This window comes from Homo sapiens, chromosome 14, assembly GCF_000001405.40.
Source record: "Homo sapiens chromosome 14, GRCh38.p14 Primary Assembly".
NCBI lineage: Eukaryota > Metazoa > Chordata > Mammalia > Primates > Hominidae > Homo > Homo sapiens.
Genome location: NC_000014.9, coordinates 81,095,539 through 81,113,161, shown reverse-complemented (window position 1 = coordinate 81,113,161; position 17,623 = coordinate 81,095,539). Strand labels below are relative to the sequence as shown.

The 17,623-nt window shown below is 39.2% G+C and overlaps 1 protein-coding gene and 1 long non-coding RNA gene across 12 annotated transcripts in view; one reads left to right on the top strand and one right to left on the bottom strand.

Moving 5' to 3' along the window:
* The window catches only part of TSHR (thyroid stimulating hormone receptor), a 190,686-nt gene that overhangs the window by 33,145 nt on the left and 139,918 nt on the right, over positions 1 to 17,623 (bottom strand). For 2 of the 4 annotated variants that reach the window (NM_000369.5, XM_011537119.3), the window contains 2 exons: positions 16,455 to 16,523; positions 4,710 to 4,787 (listed from right to left, as the gene is read on the bottom strand). In NM_000369.5, coding sequence (NP_000360.2) covers positions 4,710 to 4,787; positions 16,455 to 16,523 — 147 coding nt within the window. Of the gene's footprint in view, positions 1 to 4,221; positions 4,614 to 4,709; positions 4,788 to 16,454; positions 16,524 to 17,623 lie in introns of those variants that run through there. The other 2 variants (NM_001142626.3, NM_001018036.3) reach the window with 2 other exon arrangements.
* TSHR-AS1 (TSHR antisense RNA 1) overlaps positions 1 to 17,623 on the top strand; it is a 156,341-nt gene that overhangs the window by 57,245 nt on the left and 81,473 nt on the right. For 2 of the 8 annotated variants that reach the window (XR_001751022.2, XR_007064290.1), the window contains exon 3: positions 13,636 to 13,763. This is a non-coding gene — a long non-coding RNA (TSHR antisense RNA 1). Of the gene's footprint in view, positions 1 to 3,972; positions 4,013 to 5,981; positions 13,764 to 17,623 lie in introns of those variants that run through there. The other 6 variants (XR_001751018.3, XR_007064289.1, XR_007064288.1 and 3 more) reach the window with 5 other exon arrangements.

The window sequence follows — 17,623 nt, the reverse complement described above, 5'->3', positions numbered from 1 at the left end:
ATGCCTATATTATTTTGGCATATTCCTAAGTGGTCTTCTTGCTTCCATACTTGGTTCCCTACAGTTTATTTTCAACACAACAGCCGGCATGTTCCTGTGAAACTTTGAGTCAGACTGTGACACACCTATGCTCAAAATGCTCCTATGGCTTCCCCTCTATCTAAAGAGCAAATCAAAAGACCTGATGATGGCCTCTAAGACCATCTGCAAGTTGCTCCTCAACCCTATCATCTTTTTGATCACAGCTTTTACTTTTTCCCCCGTTTACTTTACTCTGTTTGAGCGGCAATGGCCTCCTTGCTATTCCTCAAACGTGCCAGGTATATTCTCACCTGGGGGTCTTTGCACTTGTCTAAAATGCTCTTTCTTCAGATTGTCCCCAGGCTTGTCCCTTTGTTTCTTTCAGATATTTTCTGAATTGCCACCTTCTTGATGAGGCTTTTCACTCACTGTTCTTTAATGTAGTGACCCTCCCCTACTGGTAGTTCCCAGTGAAGAATCCCAAGCTTAGCAAGTTCTCATCAGTAAATGCTTATTGTACATTTTCAAAGGCTGGCTAGGGAGAGTTTAACCAGATTGTTGGGATTGGATAGGAATGAGAGGGAGCAAGAAAAGAATTTCAGCTGGGTGAATGGCCAAATAAGAGCTAAGGTATGAGGCCCTAAACTTAGAAATCATTCACATTCTCATGATACTTGTGAGCAGATGATTTAACCAAAGGAGAAGATATAGAGGAAAAAGAGCCAGGACCCAGGATGGAACCCCATTTTGAGGAATGATGCAGTGAGCTAAGGAGAGAAATGGGGAAGGAGTGATCAGAGAGGTTACAACAGATCAGAATAATGAAGTGTCAAAGTTCAGGAAGAAGTGAAAATAATCATAATAATGTCTAACATTATTGAGGATATATTTAGTTCCTTTATTATCTTATTTAAACTTTATTAGCTTACTTTATCCTGTTTCGACAGATGAGAAAACTGAGACTTGGGTCTTACAGTTAGTAAGTGATGGGGCTGGGAGTCAACTCCAGGTATAACTCCTCATCTTTGTCACTTTCCACAACCTGGAATGCCACCAAGAGGCAGGGAAAGCATTTTCAGGCAGTTTCACAAATCCTCTTAACTTGGTGGGAGAGTCTTGTAGAAAATCTTGCCATAAATATAAAAAACAACTTCGAGGCAGTACAAGCAGGTAGTTTAATTGACCACTTCCAAAGAAGTAGAAATGGACACATTCCCTTGAGGACAACAGACTAAAATATCTTTAAAATATGATTGCTCTTTAAGTGCTATAATGTTTACAGAAGAGTGCTTTAATTATTTATTGGGTACCATATTAATTTCACAAATATTTATTAAGCTCATACTGTGTTTTGGGCATTATAATATGAACCAGAATTGTGGAAATACAATTCTGCCCTCTAAGGCAGAATTAAAATGCCAGCAGGTGCTCATCAGAAAGACAAGATTATAGCAGGGTTTTCCAGACAGTAGGAAGAGTAAGAGTTTAGCATAACAGTGTAAGTAGGTTGGAGAATTAAGGGAGCTAAGAGGTTCGATATGGATGGACCATTGATCAGAGGCGTAAAGTAGTGTAAAAGACAAAGCTGAAGATTATGGCAATGCCTTGCAAGCCACACCAAGACCTCTATCCTGAGGGGAATGGGAGGCCAGTATTGGGTTTAAGATTCTATTTGCATGTGAACCCAAAGAGGTTTGGGGAGGGTGGATTTGAGAGGAACCAAGACTAAATAAAGGCAGGAGCCAGATTTGGAGACGCTAATCATCTAGACTACTGCTACTCAACGTATGGTGCCCATTGGCCAATAGCTTCTTACCATTCCAAGGATAAGAAGCGTATGCTGGATGTAAGCCAGCTACTTCAACTAAACACACTGTTGAGTTTGGTTGACTTTATTTTCATGACAAGATTTTCTCCAAAAAAGAAGCTGTGCTTTGCTGTATATCCTGGACAGCCACTTACCTTGTAATGAACTCACTTTGAGTGGTTCTGGTCTACACTATTGGTCTTCAAATTCTTTCAATCTCACATATTAATAAGTAAAAAATATCTGAGTATGTACCACTAACATATGAACAGTCATGAACCCTATACATGTATTTTTGTAATACTATATAATATATACCATAACACACTAAACATACATTTTAAAATAATGCAATGAAGATAAGTAATATATATTTTTTAAAGTTTCATAAAAGCAAAAGCAATGTTATCAAATATGCTTAATTAGTTTTGAAAATTATTTTTAACCCTTTTGGCTATGGCTGTTCAAAGTCTGCTTTTGGTTCAGTTTATTTTGATTTTGGTTTAAATGGCCGTCCTAGTTGAAAAAATTACCAAAGATGGGTGTTTCACCAAGAATAGAGCAGGCTTAACTGCATTTATTAAACTAAGATTCTCATTTTTCAATCTAATTCAGTAATTAAATACATGTTTTTAATGAAATTTTATATTTTCTGATGTCAATCAGTTGTTTTTGCAAGGTGATCTGGAGGTGTTTCATTTTCACATTTTATACACATGGATTTTAAACCTGCTACAACTCTGTATTACTTTGCTAGAGCTATGGTAACAAAATACCACAGATTGGCTGATTTAAACAACAGAAATGTATTTTCTTACAGTTCTGGAGGCTGCAAGTCCAAGATCAAAGTGTCAGCAAGTTTGGCTTCTCCTGAGGCCTCTCTCCCTGGCTTGCAGATGGCCACCTTCTTGCTGTGGCCTCACGTGGCCTTTCCTCTGTGAGCGCCCATCCCTGGTGTCTCTCTGTGTATCCCAATCTCCTTGTCTTATGAGGCCACCTGTCAGATTGGATTAGGGCTCACCTAACAGCCTTATTTTAATTTAATTACCTCTTTACAGACCCTATCTTCAAATACAGTCACATACTAAGATGCTAGAGGTTAAGGCTTCAGCATTTGAATTTAGGAAGACAGATACAATTTAGTTCATAACAAACTTAATTTGAAAGATTTAAAAACAAGTTAAAATTCTATTTCTGATTTGAACCAAACAGAATTTTTATGGCATTGACAATTTTTTATCAGGAAAATCGCATAATATGTGAATATTTCCAAATACCTGTTTCTAAAGCCTTTCTCTAAAGCATACATTTCTTTGAAAAAGCAATGACTTTTCTTATTACTTGGCGAAGTAGTACCTTAATCTTGAAGAAGCAGATATAAAAGTGTTATTGAAAAATATCTTCCAGGTTAAAAATTACTGACAGGGACTTTATCACAGAAAAGGTTAATACATTTTTTCCCCACTTGTCTTCTTGTAAAAAGAAAAATGCATAATAATTTTAAGTACTTTGCCATGAATTAACAGTAACCCCCACGTGGCACAGCAGATTTTCAAGATCACTCTGACCTCTTATTTGGATGGAGCGTATGTGTTAAGAGAACAGGACCTTAAATGCACTGGGTGCATTCAGTCTGAAAGTGAAATAACATTGTTAAAGGTGAAAGAGTGAAGGTATCCAGTGCTCAGGACTGTGGATCACTCACCCTTCTCTAGGAGGCATCCACCCCTACCTGACACCTGAGGGACAGTGGCTATCTATAAATAAAAGATTAATAAAACTTAATTTGTTCTTATTTAAAAATAAGTATAAATAGAACCTCTAATATTTCCTCTCGCCCCTAACAGATTATCTTGTGTATCTCTACGGTGCTGTGTTCCACTTTGTTTTTTTGTTTTGTTTTGTTTTTGTTTTTGTTGTTTTTTGAGACAGACTCTCGCTCTGTCGTCCAGGCTGGAGTGCAGTGGCACGATCTGGGCTCGCTGCAAGCTCCTCCTCCTGGGTTCATGCCATTCTCCTGCCTCGGCCTCCCAAGTAGCTGGGACTACAGGCACCCGCCACTACGCCCAGCTAATTTTTTGTATTTTTAGTGGAGACAGGGTTTCACCATGTTAGCCAGGATGGTCTCGATCGCCTGACCTCGTGATCTGCCCGCCTCGGCCTCCCAAAGTGCTGGGATTACAGGTGTGAGACACTGTGCCCGGCCTGTGATCCACTTTGGCAAGGACTAGAGTGGATGCTCAATGATGAGATTCTAAACTGAGGCAAAACCAAGGGAATGAGGAAGGTGGCAATGATACAGAGGCTTCAGGGAAGCAGAATCAATAGAACCTGATCACTGATTGGATGTGGGGGTGTAAATCAAAGGAAATGCACAAATAGGTATGTTTTCATGCTGTTTAAAAAATGTTTTTATTCCATCTTTCCCCATGATTGTAAGTTCTTCCACAGACGAGTCGAACTATCATTTATATTCTTCCTTCTTTGTGCCAGGCATTGTGCAATGTACATTCAGGTACATTTTTTTCTGCAAAGACTAGAGTGCCTTCCATCTAGTTGTGGATCTTGCATTTCAAAATTTTTCAAACAGCAGCTGCTCCATGAACAGAGCCTCTGTGAGCATGTACACCAAGGTGGCTGCCTTAGCAGGCATCATGATGGCATACTGGAGCGTGGGGCCTTCTGAGTCTCAAAGGACAAGGACTTTCTTCCAAGAGGTAGCCTATACAGCCAGGAAAAGAGGGACTTGCAGAAGCCTTTACCCGAGACAGCAACATTTTCTACCCTTGAACATAAGATTCTCCCCTTAATGTCTCCATTTATTCCAAAAAAAAAAAAAGAAAAAAAAAGACTAAAATATTCTTTTGTATGTCTTACTCACAGCAAGCTTGGTCCACTGTATACTCCTCCAAATGCATCTTTGTCAATAACTGTCAGGTATTTATTCTTGTTTAGGTAACTAGAGGGAGAGAGAGAAAGAGAGAGAGAGAATGAATTAGGTGATTTTAAGAAATCACATCAAATTAGTACAAATATCAGAATAAAATGTGACCATAGTATTGACTGATTTCAAGAATTTAGAAGATACTTTATCTTCTTCTGGCTTGAGCACTTAAAACATTCTAGGTTTCAATTGTATAAAGTTTTACACATTAATTATGGCAGAAGTTTTTGAAAATGAGCATGTTTATGATCTAGTTTGCATACCTAAATTTCTTAAAAGTTGTTTTAATTCCCTATTTTTCAGGCCAGTGGCAACTGTATTTTTTAATTCTCTTTAATGCCAATCCTCTGTAATACCAAATTTTGTTTGTTAGTATTAATTTATATTCCAATTTAACTTTGAAGACTAGGCTTAAATTAGGAATGGAATGAAGATGGTGAGGGTGGTGAGAGATGCTGAGGACTGTCAGAGATTCAGATGTTTTCTTTGGGTAAAGTTGTCAGATTTAGCAAATAAAAATACAAGATGCCAGTTAAATTTGAGTTTCAGATAAACAATGAATAATTTTTTAGTAAAAATATTTGCCATGCAATTTAAAAAATATTTATATTAAAAGTTGTCTGTTGTTGATCTGAAATTCAAATTGTATTGGGTGGCCTGTATTTGATCTGACAACCCAATAGTGTGTGTGTGAGCAGTGTTTAGCCAGATGAGATTACAGAGTAATCTCATCAACCTTCCATGGAAGAGGTTTGGTGGGCACATTGGCCATTCCATTTTAAAAACACACTGGGCATTAGAGGGTAAAATGTTTTTGGAGCAATTTAAGTTACAAAGTGATTTTGAAATAAAATTCCCTCCAAATGGATAAAAGCTTCCAAGGATTTTGAAACTGGCTGTTTCCCCATAACTTTATTACACAACAAAATTATCTAAAAAGAAGCATAGCACATATATATATCCTTGTTACAAATGCTCCCAATTTACACATTTAGAATAACTCACAACATAACCTGGTCCACTTAAACATTAGTGAGTGGCCACCTGTTGATGCAAAAGAATATAGCAGAGACCCTCAGAAGGTCTGCTTAGATATGGCTAATGCTTCCATTATTCTACTTACGGGGTTTGCTCTTCATGGTGGAACATTTTTAAGGGTAATGGTTAATAATAATATTAAGCCTTCAGTCGGAAGGATTTCTTCTCCAGAGCCCTCACAGAGAAACTTCCCTCCTGGTTAACTGGACCCAGGCATGAGTCTTCGTTGAAACCGTGGGAGGAAGAAGAGTTTTACCAATCACCAGTGCTGAAGAAATCTCTCCTTTCTGGGCAGGATGAGGGAATCACTAAATGACGAGTAAGTGCTGAGACTCCACAAAATGACATGTCATAAATTGGTATATATTTTTGGGTCTTTCAATTTTCTTCTTCTTCTTTTTTTTTTTTTTTTTGAGATGGAGTCTCACTCTGTCGCCCAGTATGGAATGCAGTGGCACGATCTCTGCTCACTGCAACCTCCTGGGTTCAAGCGATTGTCCTGCCTCAGCCTCCTGAGTAACTGGGACTACAGGCGATCGCCATCATGCCTGACTAATTTTTGTATTTTTAGTAGAGACAGGGTTTCACCATGTTGGCCAGGCTGGTTTCGAGCTCCTGACCTCAACTGATCTGCCCAACTCGGCCTCCCAAAGTGCTGGGATTACAGGCATGAGCCACCGTGCCGGCCCAATTTTCTTCTTAAATAGAGATTGAGAACTAGCTAATCTAAAGTAGCCATTACCATTTTGCCTCCATACACTCTCTATTTCTTTCACAGCATTATCACAATCCATAATTATTACCTTGTTTATTTATTTGTTTACTTTATTTTTTGTCTCCCCAGCCAGAATGAAAGTTCTATGTCTACCCAGTGCCAAGTTCACCATCTCTGTAACTATTTGTTGGATGAATATGTGAATGAGTAGAAAATAAATCAACATACTTTTTCATCAAGACAGTAAAGTGGGCAGTGTTAAACTCTTAGGGTGACACAGACGATTGCTTTAAAGAAAAAATCATAAAGAGTGAAAAAATAGAAGACTTGGCTTATGGTGTGGTGGCATTTGACCAACTGTTCTTGTTGAGGTAGTGATTTTTGAGGCATCTGGTTTACAAACACCTCAAGGGTATAGCCCAAACTTGGCATCTTCTGGTAGTGGCAGAACACCCAGTATTCAGGGCATTGTTAAGTATGACAAAGGGAGAGTCAATAAATCTCAAATGCATTCAGAGACCTGGCTAAGATGCTAAAGCAGCCAATCTGTGCCTTCCCAGTGGCTTCAATCACAATCCCCACTTGATCATTGTTTGACTCTCCTTTAACCCACTATGTCCATGGAATTCCTTTGGTCAGTGACACCCAGAGTGGGCAAAATCCACCTTGAAAAAAAAAAACAACTGCAGAGAAGATATTGAACAGCATGATTTTGTAAAAAGACAACTAAGTTCAGTACAAGGGCTGCACTGGCTTGCATCTCTTTTTGTATTCTCTGGACAATGCAGCTTGCAGATCACATTCTGTTCCCAGGCTGTTGAAAATCAAGTAAGAGCCGGTGAACTCATCTCAGTTTTTCCTCTTCATCTCTAACTGCTGCAAGTGAAATTCAGCTTGTTCTTTCTAATCATTAGAAATTATTGTAAAACTAAATTATTGCTTGTCCAATTCTGCAGTGTTTTCATCTGATATTTAATATACTCCTGAGGATAAGGAGCCTGGTTGATAAGCATTGCAGTTTACCAGAAACTCTGCAGAAGACTTCAGACTGGAAAAGCCAGCCAGAGTCCAGGAGGGGAGGAGGAGGATGCAGAGGAGCCCTGGCCAAGATGAACGGAGATGAACTGACACTTCAGGAGACTGTGTTCTCTAAAACCAGCACTGCTGTTGGGGTACTTTACCTCTTAGAGTTAATTAGATGCTTAAAAGTGAAACCATCACTCTGCCTTCAGCAGATTTGAGGGCTGCCTCATTTAGCTTTTCAACCTTGCATCAGCTTGCTGCTCTTGCCTTCCATCTGAAGTCAAGACAGTGGGGAGGGGAAATACATATACAGAAGCCTTGATATCCAGGAAAGTGCTTCCATCAACCTCATTTATCACATGACATTTCCTGGGATTATCAGTCTAGTTAAACTGATTCCTTGACCATGACTTACCTTGATTCTTCTGAAATCCACATTTGTAACCAGCTTGGATAAATCAGTCACAAATCTTGGTAGGCTATCTGGTTAACCTACTCTAGAAAATGATTATTTTAGAGAGGAGTGATAAAAACTATCCCTTGCAAGGAGAAGATGAACATAAAGTAGCTTAAAAGAGACTCAAAAGGCTTGTAGTAAGAGACGAAAGGAAATACTTTTTGAAAGTCAGGGTTTCTAAATATCTATGCTGGAAAGGGCTTATGAGAAAAGAACTGGTATTTCCTTTAAAAATAAGATAGACATGGCTACATCTCTATGTGTTCAACAGCTTTTCACCGCTTGGGGTCTTATTCCTCTTTGAGAACCTGTTGGAAGAAATGAAGTTCTTCTGAGAAAAGAGATGTCAGATTTCCATACATGGAGTTAAGAAGCCCTGCCCTGATTTAAGATTGTGAATAGTTCACAGTTAGGGAAGACCAATGCAGTCAGGAAAATGAAGGTGGTGAGGAATGAGCTGAGGAAAATATTCGATTGACAAACTCAGTATTATGTGTACTATATGTGTGTTTATGTACGCCCTTTTCTGTTGGACTCACTCGTGGCACATAGCGGCCATTCAGTAAAGACTTGCTGGAGGAAGGAATGAAAGCCTGATTGTTGGGTGACTCCTAGAAAGAGGCACCCTCTATACCAGGTTTAGAAAGACGTGATCTATGCCAGAGAGAGGAGTGTGATGTCGTGGCAAGAGAATTTGCTATTGCTGCTGAACTTGGCTCTCTGGGGAGTTTTAGGATACATTGCAGCTCCAAGATGGAATTTCAGCCTGTGCCTCCACAGTCCCTTTATGGGGAACTTGGGCTGGGCCTTGATTATGTTGTGAGACTCTCATGGGAACACTTCTGTGGGGAACCATGTTTTCCTCCCACAGCGTTGCTAATTCAGAAAATTAAAGGGACCCCCTGCCTACCTCTCATGTTAGTTTAAAGAGAAGCTGGATTGCTCTATGGAAATCCTTTTGTAGCAGAAATCAGGACAGCTGTTTGTAAATAGTAACCTGTGAGAAAATACTCAAGCTCTCAATAGGCAGAGGGAAAAGTCAGCCTTAGAGTATATCCTACAAGCTGTTCAAATACTTACCCCATGATAAATAATAGCCTTCTTAATCCTATAATATTCTCTATCATTGTCTTTTCCCAGTGTGCCAAGATGTGGTGTTTTACTTCGAATCAGCTAATGCATGATGCTAATTAGCACATTAATTCTGTTGACTCTGTTCATAATAATTAGTGTATTGGTGGGCTCTTAGCATATCAAAATGGTATTTTTATTCCTGCCTAAATGTTTACTGTCAGATAGTAGCTAGTTACTAGAGTTTGACAATAGGAAATGTGATACAGAGAATCAGACATTCTGTGAGAAGCAACATATCCCCACGCAGATTGCGTGGAAAGAGGATGGAAAAGAAATTCCAAACAATGAATGTGTGACTTAACTTGTGACCAAGTACAGTTCAACTTCTGTTGAGCAAGGGATGCTTGTATTATTATTAATTTCACCTCTGAGTGATGACAACATTCTTGGCGCCATAGGAAGTCATAGGACAATGTGCTTTTACACATCTGCCATCATTTTCATGAAATCCTAACTAATTGCTTGACTGCTGCTGAGGCATCAGCACTTGCACTCGATGTGGAATTTGTCCAGCTTGGCTGTAATTGTATTATTCAGTTACATTTTAAAAAATGAGTGTAAATGAGGTCGATCTGCTAATTTCAGTAAATTGTCATGAAGTGGAATGATAGGGGATGATTGCTCTTTTGGATGACACATTGTTTAAATGAGAACCTAATGATACCTGGACAAACTTCTGGAGAAATTACCAAATTGCTAACATGCCATGTGAAATCCTTGAACACTATTAAGATAATTACAGGAGATTGATGTGTTTGCCTTAGTTTAAAATCTTAATTAGCATTGACACCAAAAGCAACATCCCTATGTTAAAAACACAATGTGAATACTATTTTATTATTACCATGGAACCTTGACCTTTCTTTCCTTCACCTATAGCTCAATCCTTGTCTTCCTCCAGTCCCAGGGCTCCTTATCACAACCATCATTTTGATTTTACACTGGATTTACATGATACCTTTTACTGAAGTGCTTAAATCTAGGAAAGAATAAATTTCTATTGACTAGGAGTCAGAAACTTAGGGTAGAATGATGGAGCATTGTTTTATAACAGGAGCAGTTTCCAGCTTGGATTCAAAATACTGATTAAAAAAATTTGTTTTCTATTATGATTGGATCTGTACTTTCTAACGCCAAATATTTTAATCCAGATACTTTTTATCTTGATCCCACGCTTGCCCTTTAACCTTTACCAGAAATTCAGAGAAACAGAGTACATATTTCGCCACACAATGGTCATCCTCACTGAATACTTTTATCCAGAGGTCTACAAACTATGACCCTCCAGTCAAATCCTACCTTGCCCTTGTTTTTGTAAATAAAGTTTTATTGGAACATAACCATGCTCATTTGTTTATATATTGTCTATGGCTGCTTTCACACTACAAAGGCAGACTTAAGTAGTGCAACTAAGACCATATGTCCCATAAGGCCCCAAATATTTGCTATCTGGGCTTTTCCCAGAAAAAGTTTGCTGACCCCTGATCTAGACTTTTAGAAACCAAGACACAAAAGATTCTTAACAAAGAAATAGTTTCCACATTTGTTAAACTCTTCCAAATAACTTTAATACTTAACATAAAAATGTCAAGAAAGTATTGTGAAATAGTACACTGATTTCTTTCCTATGTTTCAAGGGATAGTTAGACAGTAAGTCATGGCACCAGTGAATTGAAAATCCATTGTCACTGACAGAATATCTCTGCCGTCAGCTAAGCCTCCCACAGAATCCATGATATGGTCTGAGGAGAAAGCTGGTGTGAACGTACGGAGAGTCTCTATATATACAGCAGATCCTCTAATAATATTGTCTCATTCACTATTGTTTAGTTTTTTTTTTTTTTTTTCCCTGAGATGGAGTCTCTCTCAGTCTCCCAGGCTGGAGTGCAGTGGTGCGATCTCGGCTCACTGCAAGCTCCGCCTCCCGGGTTCACACCATTCTCCTGCCTCAGCCTCCCGAGTAGCTGGGACTACAGGCGCCCGCCACCACGCCCAGCTAATTTTTTTGTATTTTTAGTAGAGACGGGGTTTCACCGTGTTAGCCAGGATGGTCTCGATCTCCTGACTTTGTGATCCACCTGCCTCAGCCTCCCAAAGTGCTGGGATTACAGACATGAGCCACCACACCCGGCCTGCTTAGTTTTAATGAGAATAAAATCCTTTCCAGGCCAGGGCTACTGTTTATGTGAAGTGTGCACACACTCCCCATGTCTGTGTGGGTTTTCTCCAGGTATTCCAATTTCCTCCCACACCCCAAAGATGTGCAGATCAGGTTTCTTGGTGTGTCTAGATGGTGCCAGTTCAAGTGAGTGTGGTGGTATGTGTGATTGTGTCCCATGTTGGGGTGACGTCCTGTTCAGGGTTGGCTCCCACCTTGTGCCCTGAGCTTCTGGAATAGGCTGTGGCCACCTGTGACCTTGAACTGGAATAATTGGGCAAATAATTCTCTTGTTTTTATTAACCTACCTTAAATGTATGTATAGCTCATATTTGTTTCCATATTTAACATTAGAAGCATTTTGGTCCTTATGCAAAAGTTTGGTTGTTTTTGTGACCAGAAATATGCTATAGAAACTCAACTCCTATTTATATCAACTAGCCTATGGTAAAATTGGTTTCATTATACATTGTTTGTATTTCAAGTTGTAGTTTTCAAGACCCTATCTGGGATGCTAAGTGAGGACTTTGCGTACTTTTTCCATAGGGTTAATTTCAGAAGGCCATCTGATCATTTGAAATCTTTACTAGTTCTTAGAATCTCCACAGCTATCTCTTGAATAAACCTTCTTAAATTTACCTGCTTCCCAAGCAGATGGTATATCGAAAGATTCTTCTTCAGTAGTGTAATATTGTGAAATATGTATTTGGTCTTATCTGTTTCCTGGCACACAGCTCCTAAAACTCTTGGAATTTCCAGAGTGACAAGTGTCTTTTGTATGCTGATGAGATGACTGGTGACTGTCAATCCCTAGATAGCTTCAGGATGAGGGCTGGTCACCAGAAAGATCAATAAATAATTAGAGGGTTGGACTTTCAGCTCCACCTTCTCACCTTCAGGTAGGAGACAGGGGCTGAAAAGATTGAGATGATCACCAATGGCCAGTGATGTAATAAATCAAGCCTATGTAATGAAACCTCCATACAAAGCCAGAGAGGAGAGGGTTTGGATGAGCTTCCAGGTAGCTGGAAGGTGGTCAAGGCACATGTGGAGCTGAGGGGAGGGTGTGTGCCCAGAGAGGGCATGGAAGCTCTGCACTCCTTCCTACCTCTCACCCTATGCATCTTTGCCACACAGCTGCTCCTTTGTAATATCCTTTAAAGTGTCTCCCTGAGTTCTGTGAGCTGCTTTAGCAAATTAACTGAACTGAGGAGGGGACTGGGGGAACCCTGATTTATAATTGGTCAGTCAGAAGCATAGGACACAACCTGGGAGCTGTGACTGGCATCTGAAGTAGCAGGCAGTCTTGTGGGACTGAGCCCTTAACCTGTGGATCTGATGCTATCTCCAGGTAGAGTATCAGAACTGAGTTAAATTGTAGGACATCCAGCTGGTGTGCATTGGAGAATTGATTACTTGTTGTGTGGGGGAAAAGCCTCCAAACATTTGGTGTCAAAACTGTTGTATTGAGTGTGTGATGGTAGAAAAACACCTTGATTTTTTTCCTACCTATCAGAGGCGGTATTCCCCTCAAAAGTCTGTAGAACACCAGACCAGAGAGATGCTCCTGTAACTGAGAACTGCTTGAGAAGCTCTGCAAACTAAGGCCCCCTCTTTGATATGAATAATTCAGATGATTTTATTAGAAGATCTGAAAAGTCCACTTATATATCTTGTTTAACTTTATAAGATCATAAATTTCTTTTAAAAAGTAACACCCATTAATTTACTATGGAAAGAGAGTTGAAGAAATATAGTTTAAAGGAACATAGCTCCCCCTCTCCCATCCCTTCTCTTATCACAAAGGCTGAGGAGAAGCTCAAAGAGAAATTATTGTTCACTTGTTCGTTTTTCCATCCTTTCAATAGAAAATGTCTCTAAACTCCTTTGATACTCTGTGTCTAATTTTATGGCTGGTCATAAGATAATAAGCTGCTAGACCTACACTGAGATCCACTTAGCACACTAACACTTCCTGATTGAAGAAGACCTCTTTTGAAAATCTCTTGAAGTCTTTGCAGAGTTCTCTAAACATGACCAGGAGGCCAATCATGAGGAGGAGTGAGATGTTTTGAGGGAAAATAGTCAATATACGTAAACTAAGTTCAATACCAATTCTTTGACTTGAATAACGTTTTATCATCCCAGCATTTTTGTCAGGTTATCGCCGACCAGACTTCATCTGGAAGCTCACGAATGGCTTTGCAGCATTGGTAAAGTCAGGTTCTCGTGGACTAACAACACTGTTTCTTGATGTGATTGTCCTCTGAAACTTCTCCTGATTATGCCTCGAGTTTTGAGTTGCCTTCTTTCTCTCACATGATCTCATTCTTTTCAGGATCAAGATATTTTAACTTCTGTGTTTAGCGCCTTTAATAGATTGAGCTAAGAAGTCTAAGCAATCTTCAGGGCTAAGAAACAAGCTGCACTTGCCAGAGTTGGATGTTCACACCTTGGTGATGGCTGGTAAGTCAGCCATGATGAATCCCAGCAGAGGGCAGGGAAAGAGTTCTGAACCAGGGGACCCAGGTCTCAGCTTTGACTTGGCCACTAGGAAGCTCTATCAAATTAAAACAGCCACGTTAAAAAAAAAAAGCCATGTGTTCTTGTTGGGCTTCATTCCCTTCATATGTAAAACGTGACAATTGGACAAGAAGACTGATAATGTATTTTACAGCAGTAGTTCTTGACTTTTGCTCTGTATTGGACTCACTTGGAGAGAGTTTTAAATCCCCATGATCCTGCTACATCCAGAATGTCTGACGGCAAAACCTAGGCATTAGTGCTTTGAAAACTCCCTAATGTTGAGAATTATTGCTCTGTAGACCTTAAGGTCTGAATTTTATACTCTATCTTGAATAAATGATAATTGATAGTGTCTGAGGGTCATATCTTCCAATGACTAAATACGGCAGGAAAAACAGGCAGTTAATTTGAAGCATAGATTCTTATCTTGGGCTCCAAAATCTTTTGCTTGTGGAAAAATTAATGTTTTAGAAATCAATTACCCTATATCCCAGGTTTCAGGTTCTTTCTCTAATCCACCATTCTGGAAAGGCAGTTCTAGTTCAGGCAAGAGTCAGGTGAACACACTGAATTCAGGAGCCATATTAACAGCTTTGGTTTCCCTGGTTGAAGATTTCCTTACTACCTCCTATCCCTGCCCCTGCTAATGTGAGTCTTTGTTGCCTTTATGCTAACTAAACTTTTGGTGCACTCTATGTCTAGAACTGTGTGATAGTCATCTGAAATCTTTATACCCTAAGTACCTACAAACTATCTTCATTATTTTAAGAACTCTCCATACTCCATTCATAGAAAATTTGAATTTGAAGATCATTACCCTAAGAGTCATAGCTTTCTAGGAATAGTTGAATCAAAGAGGAAAATATTTGGTGAAATTCATACAATATTAAAATCAAATGCCACCTTTCCAGAATGCTAGATTAGAAAAAGAACTTGAAACCTGGAATATAGGATAATTCATTTCTAAAACATTAATTTTAATAATGATTTAAAAAACAATGGGATAAACCTAGAAAAAATCTAGCTTGTATCTCCAAAGAAGGAAAGCAATGTTATTCGATATTTAGGCTTCAGTTATTTTCTATCTGAGATGCATATTTTGGATTGGGTACACTTCTCCCTAATGTACTTTGCCCTTTGATGTTGCTGCCCTTGAGCTGACCCCCACCAGAATGTACGCTCAGTGTGGGCAGGGAGCACATGGCTCCTGTTCATCTGTGTTTTCCCAGTGAATGGCACAGGGCCTGGTACATTGCAAGTGTCTAATAAATATGTTGAAAAGTAGATGAAAGATTGTAAGAAGTTAGTATCATAAAGTTAAGATGGAAGGAGGGTCTCTCCAATTCTGTAAATAAATTTGAGGGGGTAAGTATCACCTTACTCGATAGAGTCTTTTTAGACTTTGCCTATAATTATGTAGTAAAAAAATAATGGAAATGAACCATTATGACTCCACAACCAGACAATCGAGAGAATGGTACTGTAACTCTTCATTTCATAAAGACTGGTATGAAGCACAAAAGCCAGCAAAGAGTGAGACTTCACTTCAAACAGAACTCAGGGAGCCTTGCCTCAGTGTAATGAGTTCAAACACCTTTTTACCATTTACCATTTAAAAATGGAATTGTTCCAGAACCTACCACCTAACCCCTAAACCAGAACATCAACCAAAATCACATAATCTACATGAGTGTTCTTCTCCATCCAGAGCCACTGCATAGGGTTAGACAGCTTATTGACCTCACCCTTGCTACTTAAAGTGTGGTCTATGAACAGCAGTGTCGGCATCACCTGGGAGTTTGTTAGAAATATGGAATCCCGAGGCCAAATCCAGAGCTACAGAATCAGACTGTGTATTTTGATAAGACCTCTCAGAGGGTCTGATGCCCAGGAAGGTTTGAGAAGCCCCATACGCAACAGATTTTGTGTCATAAGGCCTTCAGATTTTGCAGGGATCATTTCTGGAACATAAAATTACTATGTATGAAATGTTTAAAGTGAAACAAATAATATAATTACAAAAATGAATACATAACAAGACACTAGCAAAAATGAGCAGGTAAATTTGAAAAAAACAACAAATAGAAAAAGGTGAAATAGAAAAAATATATCATTTGTAAAGAAATACTCAAAAAGTGTTATAAAACACATCAAACACAAAGTCTATTGTTTGCTGTTTCAGCTGTTCCCAGCACTATTTATTTTTTGAAAAGGCAAAAGTTGGATATGATTTTTTAGCTATTTCTGAGTGAATCAAATATAAACTGACATCTTTCCCAAAAACATGTCAGAAAGGACTAAAAGAGAAACCACCTTATTTTCTGAACAGCTTTGGGCTTCATTAAAGATATCCTTTTACTTCATGTACATAATAGATGAACATTTACACACACACACACACACACACACACACACCAGGGAGAAAAGCTTTGGAACTTACCATTGGAGCTAACGTAAGCGCCCACTAAAGTGGGCCCCTGCCAAGTTCCTTGACCTCATTTCCATGTTGGTCACACTAACTCTGGCGTGGAAGATGCTCTGGTAGAACCTATCTCTCAACAGCATTCTGCCCCATTGGATGGTTCTTAGGGTAAGGGAAAGTGACAGTTTTCATGGCTACCCTTGACTTACACAGCATCCAGCTTTGTCCCATTGAAAGCATATCCTTGGACTGAAGTAAAGCCATTGTTGTACAGCTTCCTACAACCAACAGAGAGAAGAGAAATCAGTGACTGGTGAGAAGTGGTGCTGGCCTGTTTCTGGAGAGTTGGACTATATTTCTTCAGTGTCATAAATGTACATAAAGGTTTTTCAGGTCCCACATATGTATCCCACAAGAAAACTTTCCAGTACAAGTTGTTGGAAACAAGATAATATTTCTCAGTTTGAATGCCCATTCTCCTGACTTAGCTCCTAGTAAATTTAAGGTGTTTCTCAGAATCATATTTACTTTGAGTAACAAACTTGTTACCATTGAAGATTTTAAAAGAATATTCCACATACATTCAGAAAAAGGGATTTGAGGTAATAGTTAACCCAATGTCAATAGTGGAGGAGCAGCTGCAGTCTCTTAAGATAAACATTTTGAAAGACATTCATCTGAATGCGTATGTTTTTATTTTTCTATTAATATTTAAATGTTATTTCACCTTTGTATTTTATCCATCTTTTTATCCTCAGAGCTTATCACAGATTAAATGTTTAAGGGTTATGGGCTGAATTAAATTAAACCTCATAGATGAATCTAAGAAAGTAGATAGACCATGTCCTCTTATGGATTTTTTTTTTTTTTTTTTTGAGACAGGGTCTCTCACTCTGTCACCCAGGCTGGAGTACACTGGCTCAATCACGGCTCACTGCAGCCTTGAGTCCCTGGGCTTAAGCGATCCTCCCACCTCAGCCTCTCAAACAGTTGGGACTATAGGCATGTGCCACCATGCCTGGCTAATTTTTGTATTTGTTGTAGAGATGAGGTTTCACCATGTTGCCCAGGCTAGTCTGGGCTCAAGTGATCCGCCTGCCTCAGCCTCCCGAAACACTGGGGATTACAGGTGTGAACCACTGGGCTGGAAATGTTAATGTTTTAACTTGTTGCTGTGTTTCTATGACTAATTAATTCATTTAATGATTCAGGGAGCCAGTCTGAAATGTTATTACTTCTATTTCCTATTGAAGTTACTGAGACATGAGGGTGACTTGCCAAAAACACATTGGTCTAGGACTGTTGAGACTTAGGATCCCTGACTTCAAATATGATTTTTTTTTTTGACAGGGAGTCTGGCACTGTTGCCCAGGCTGAA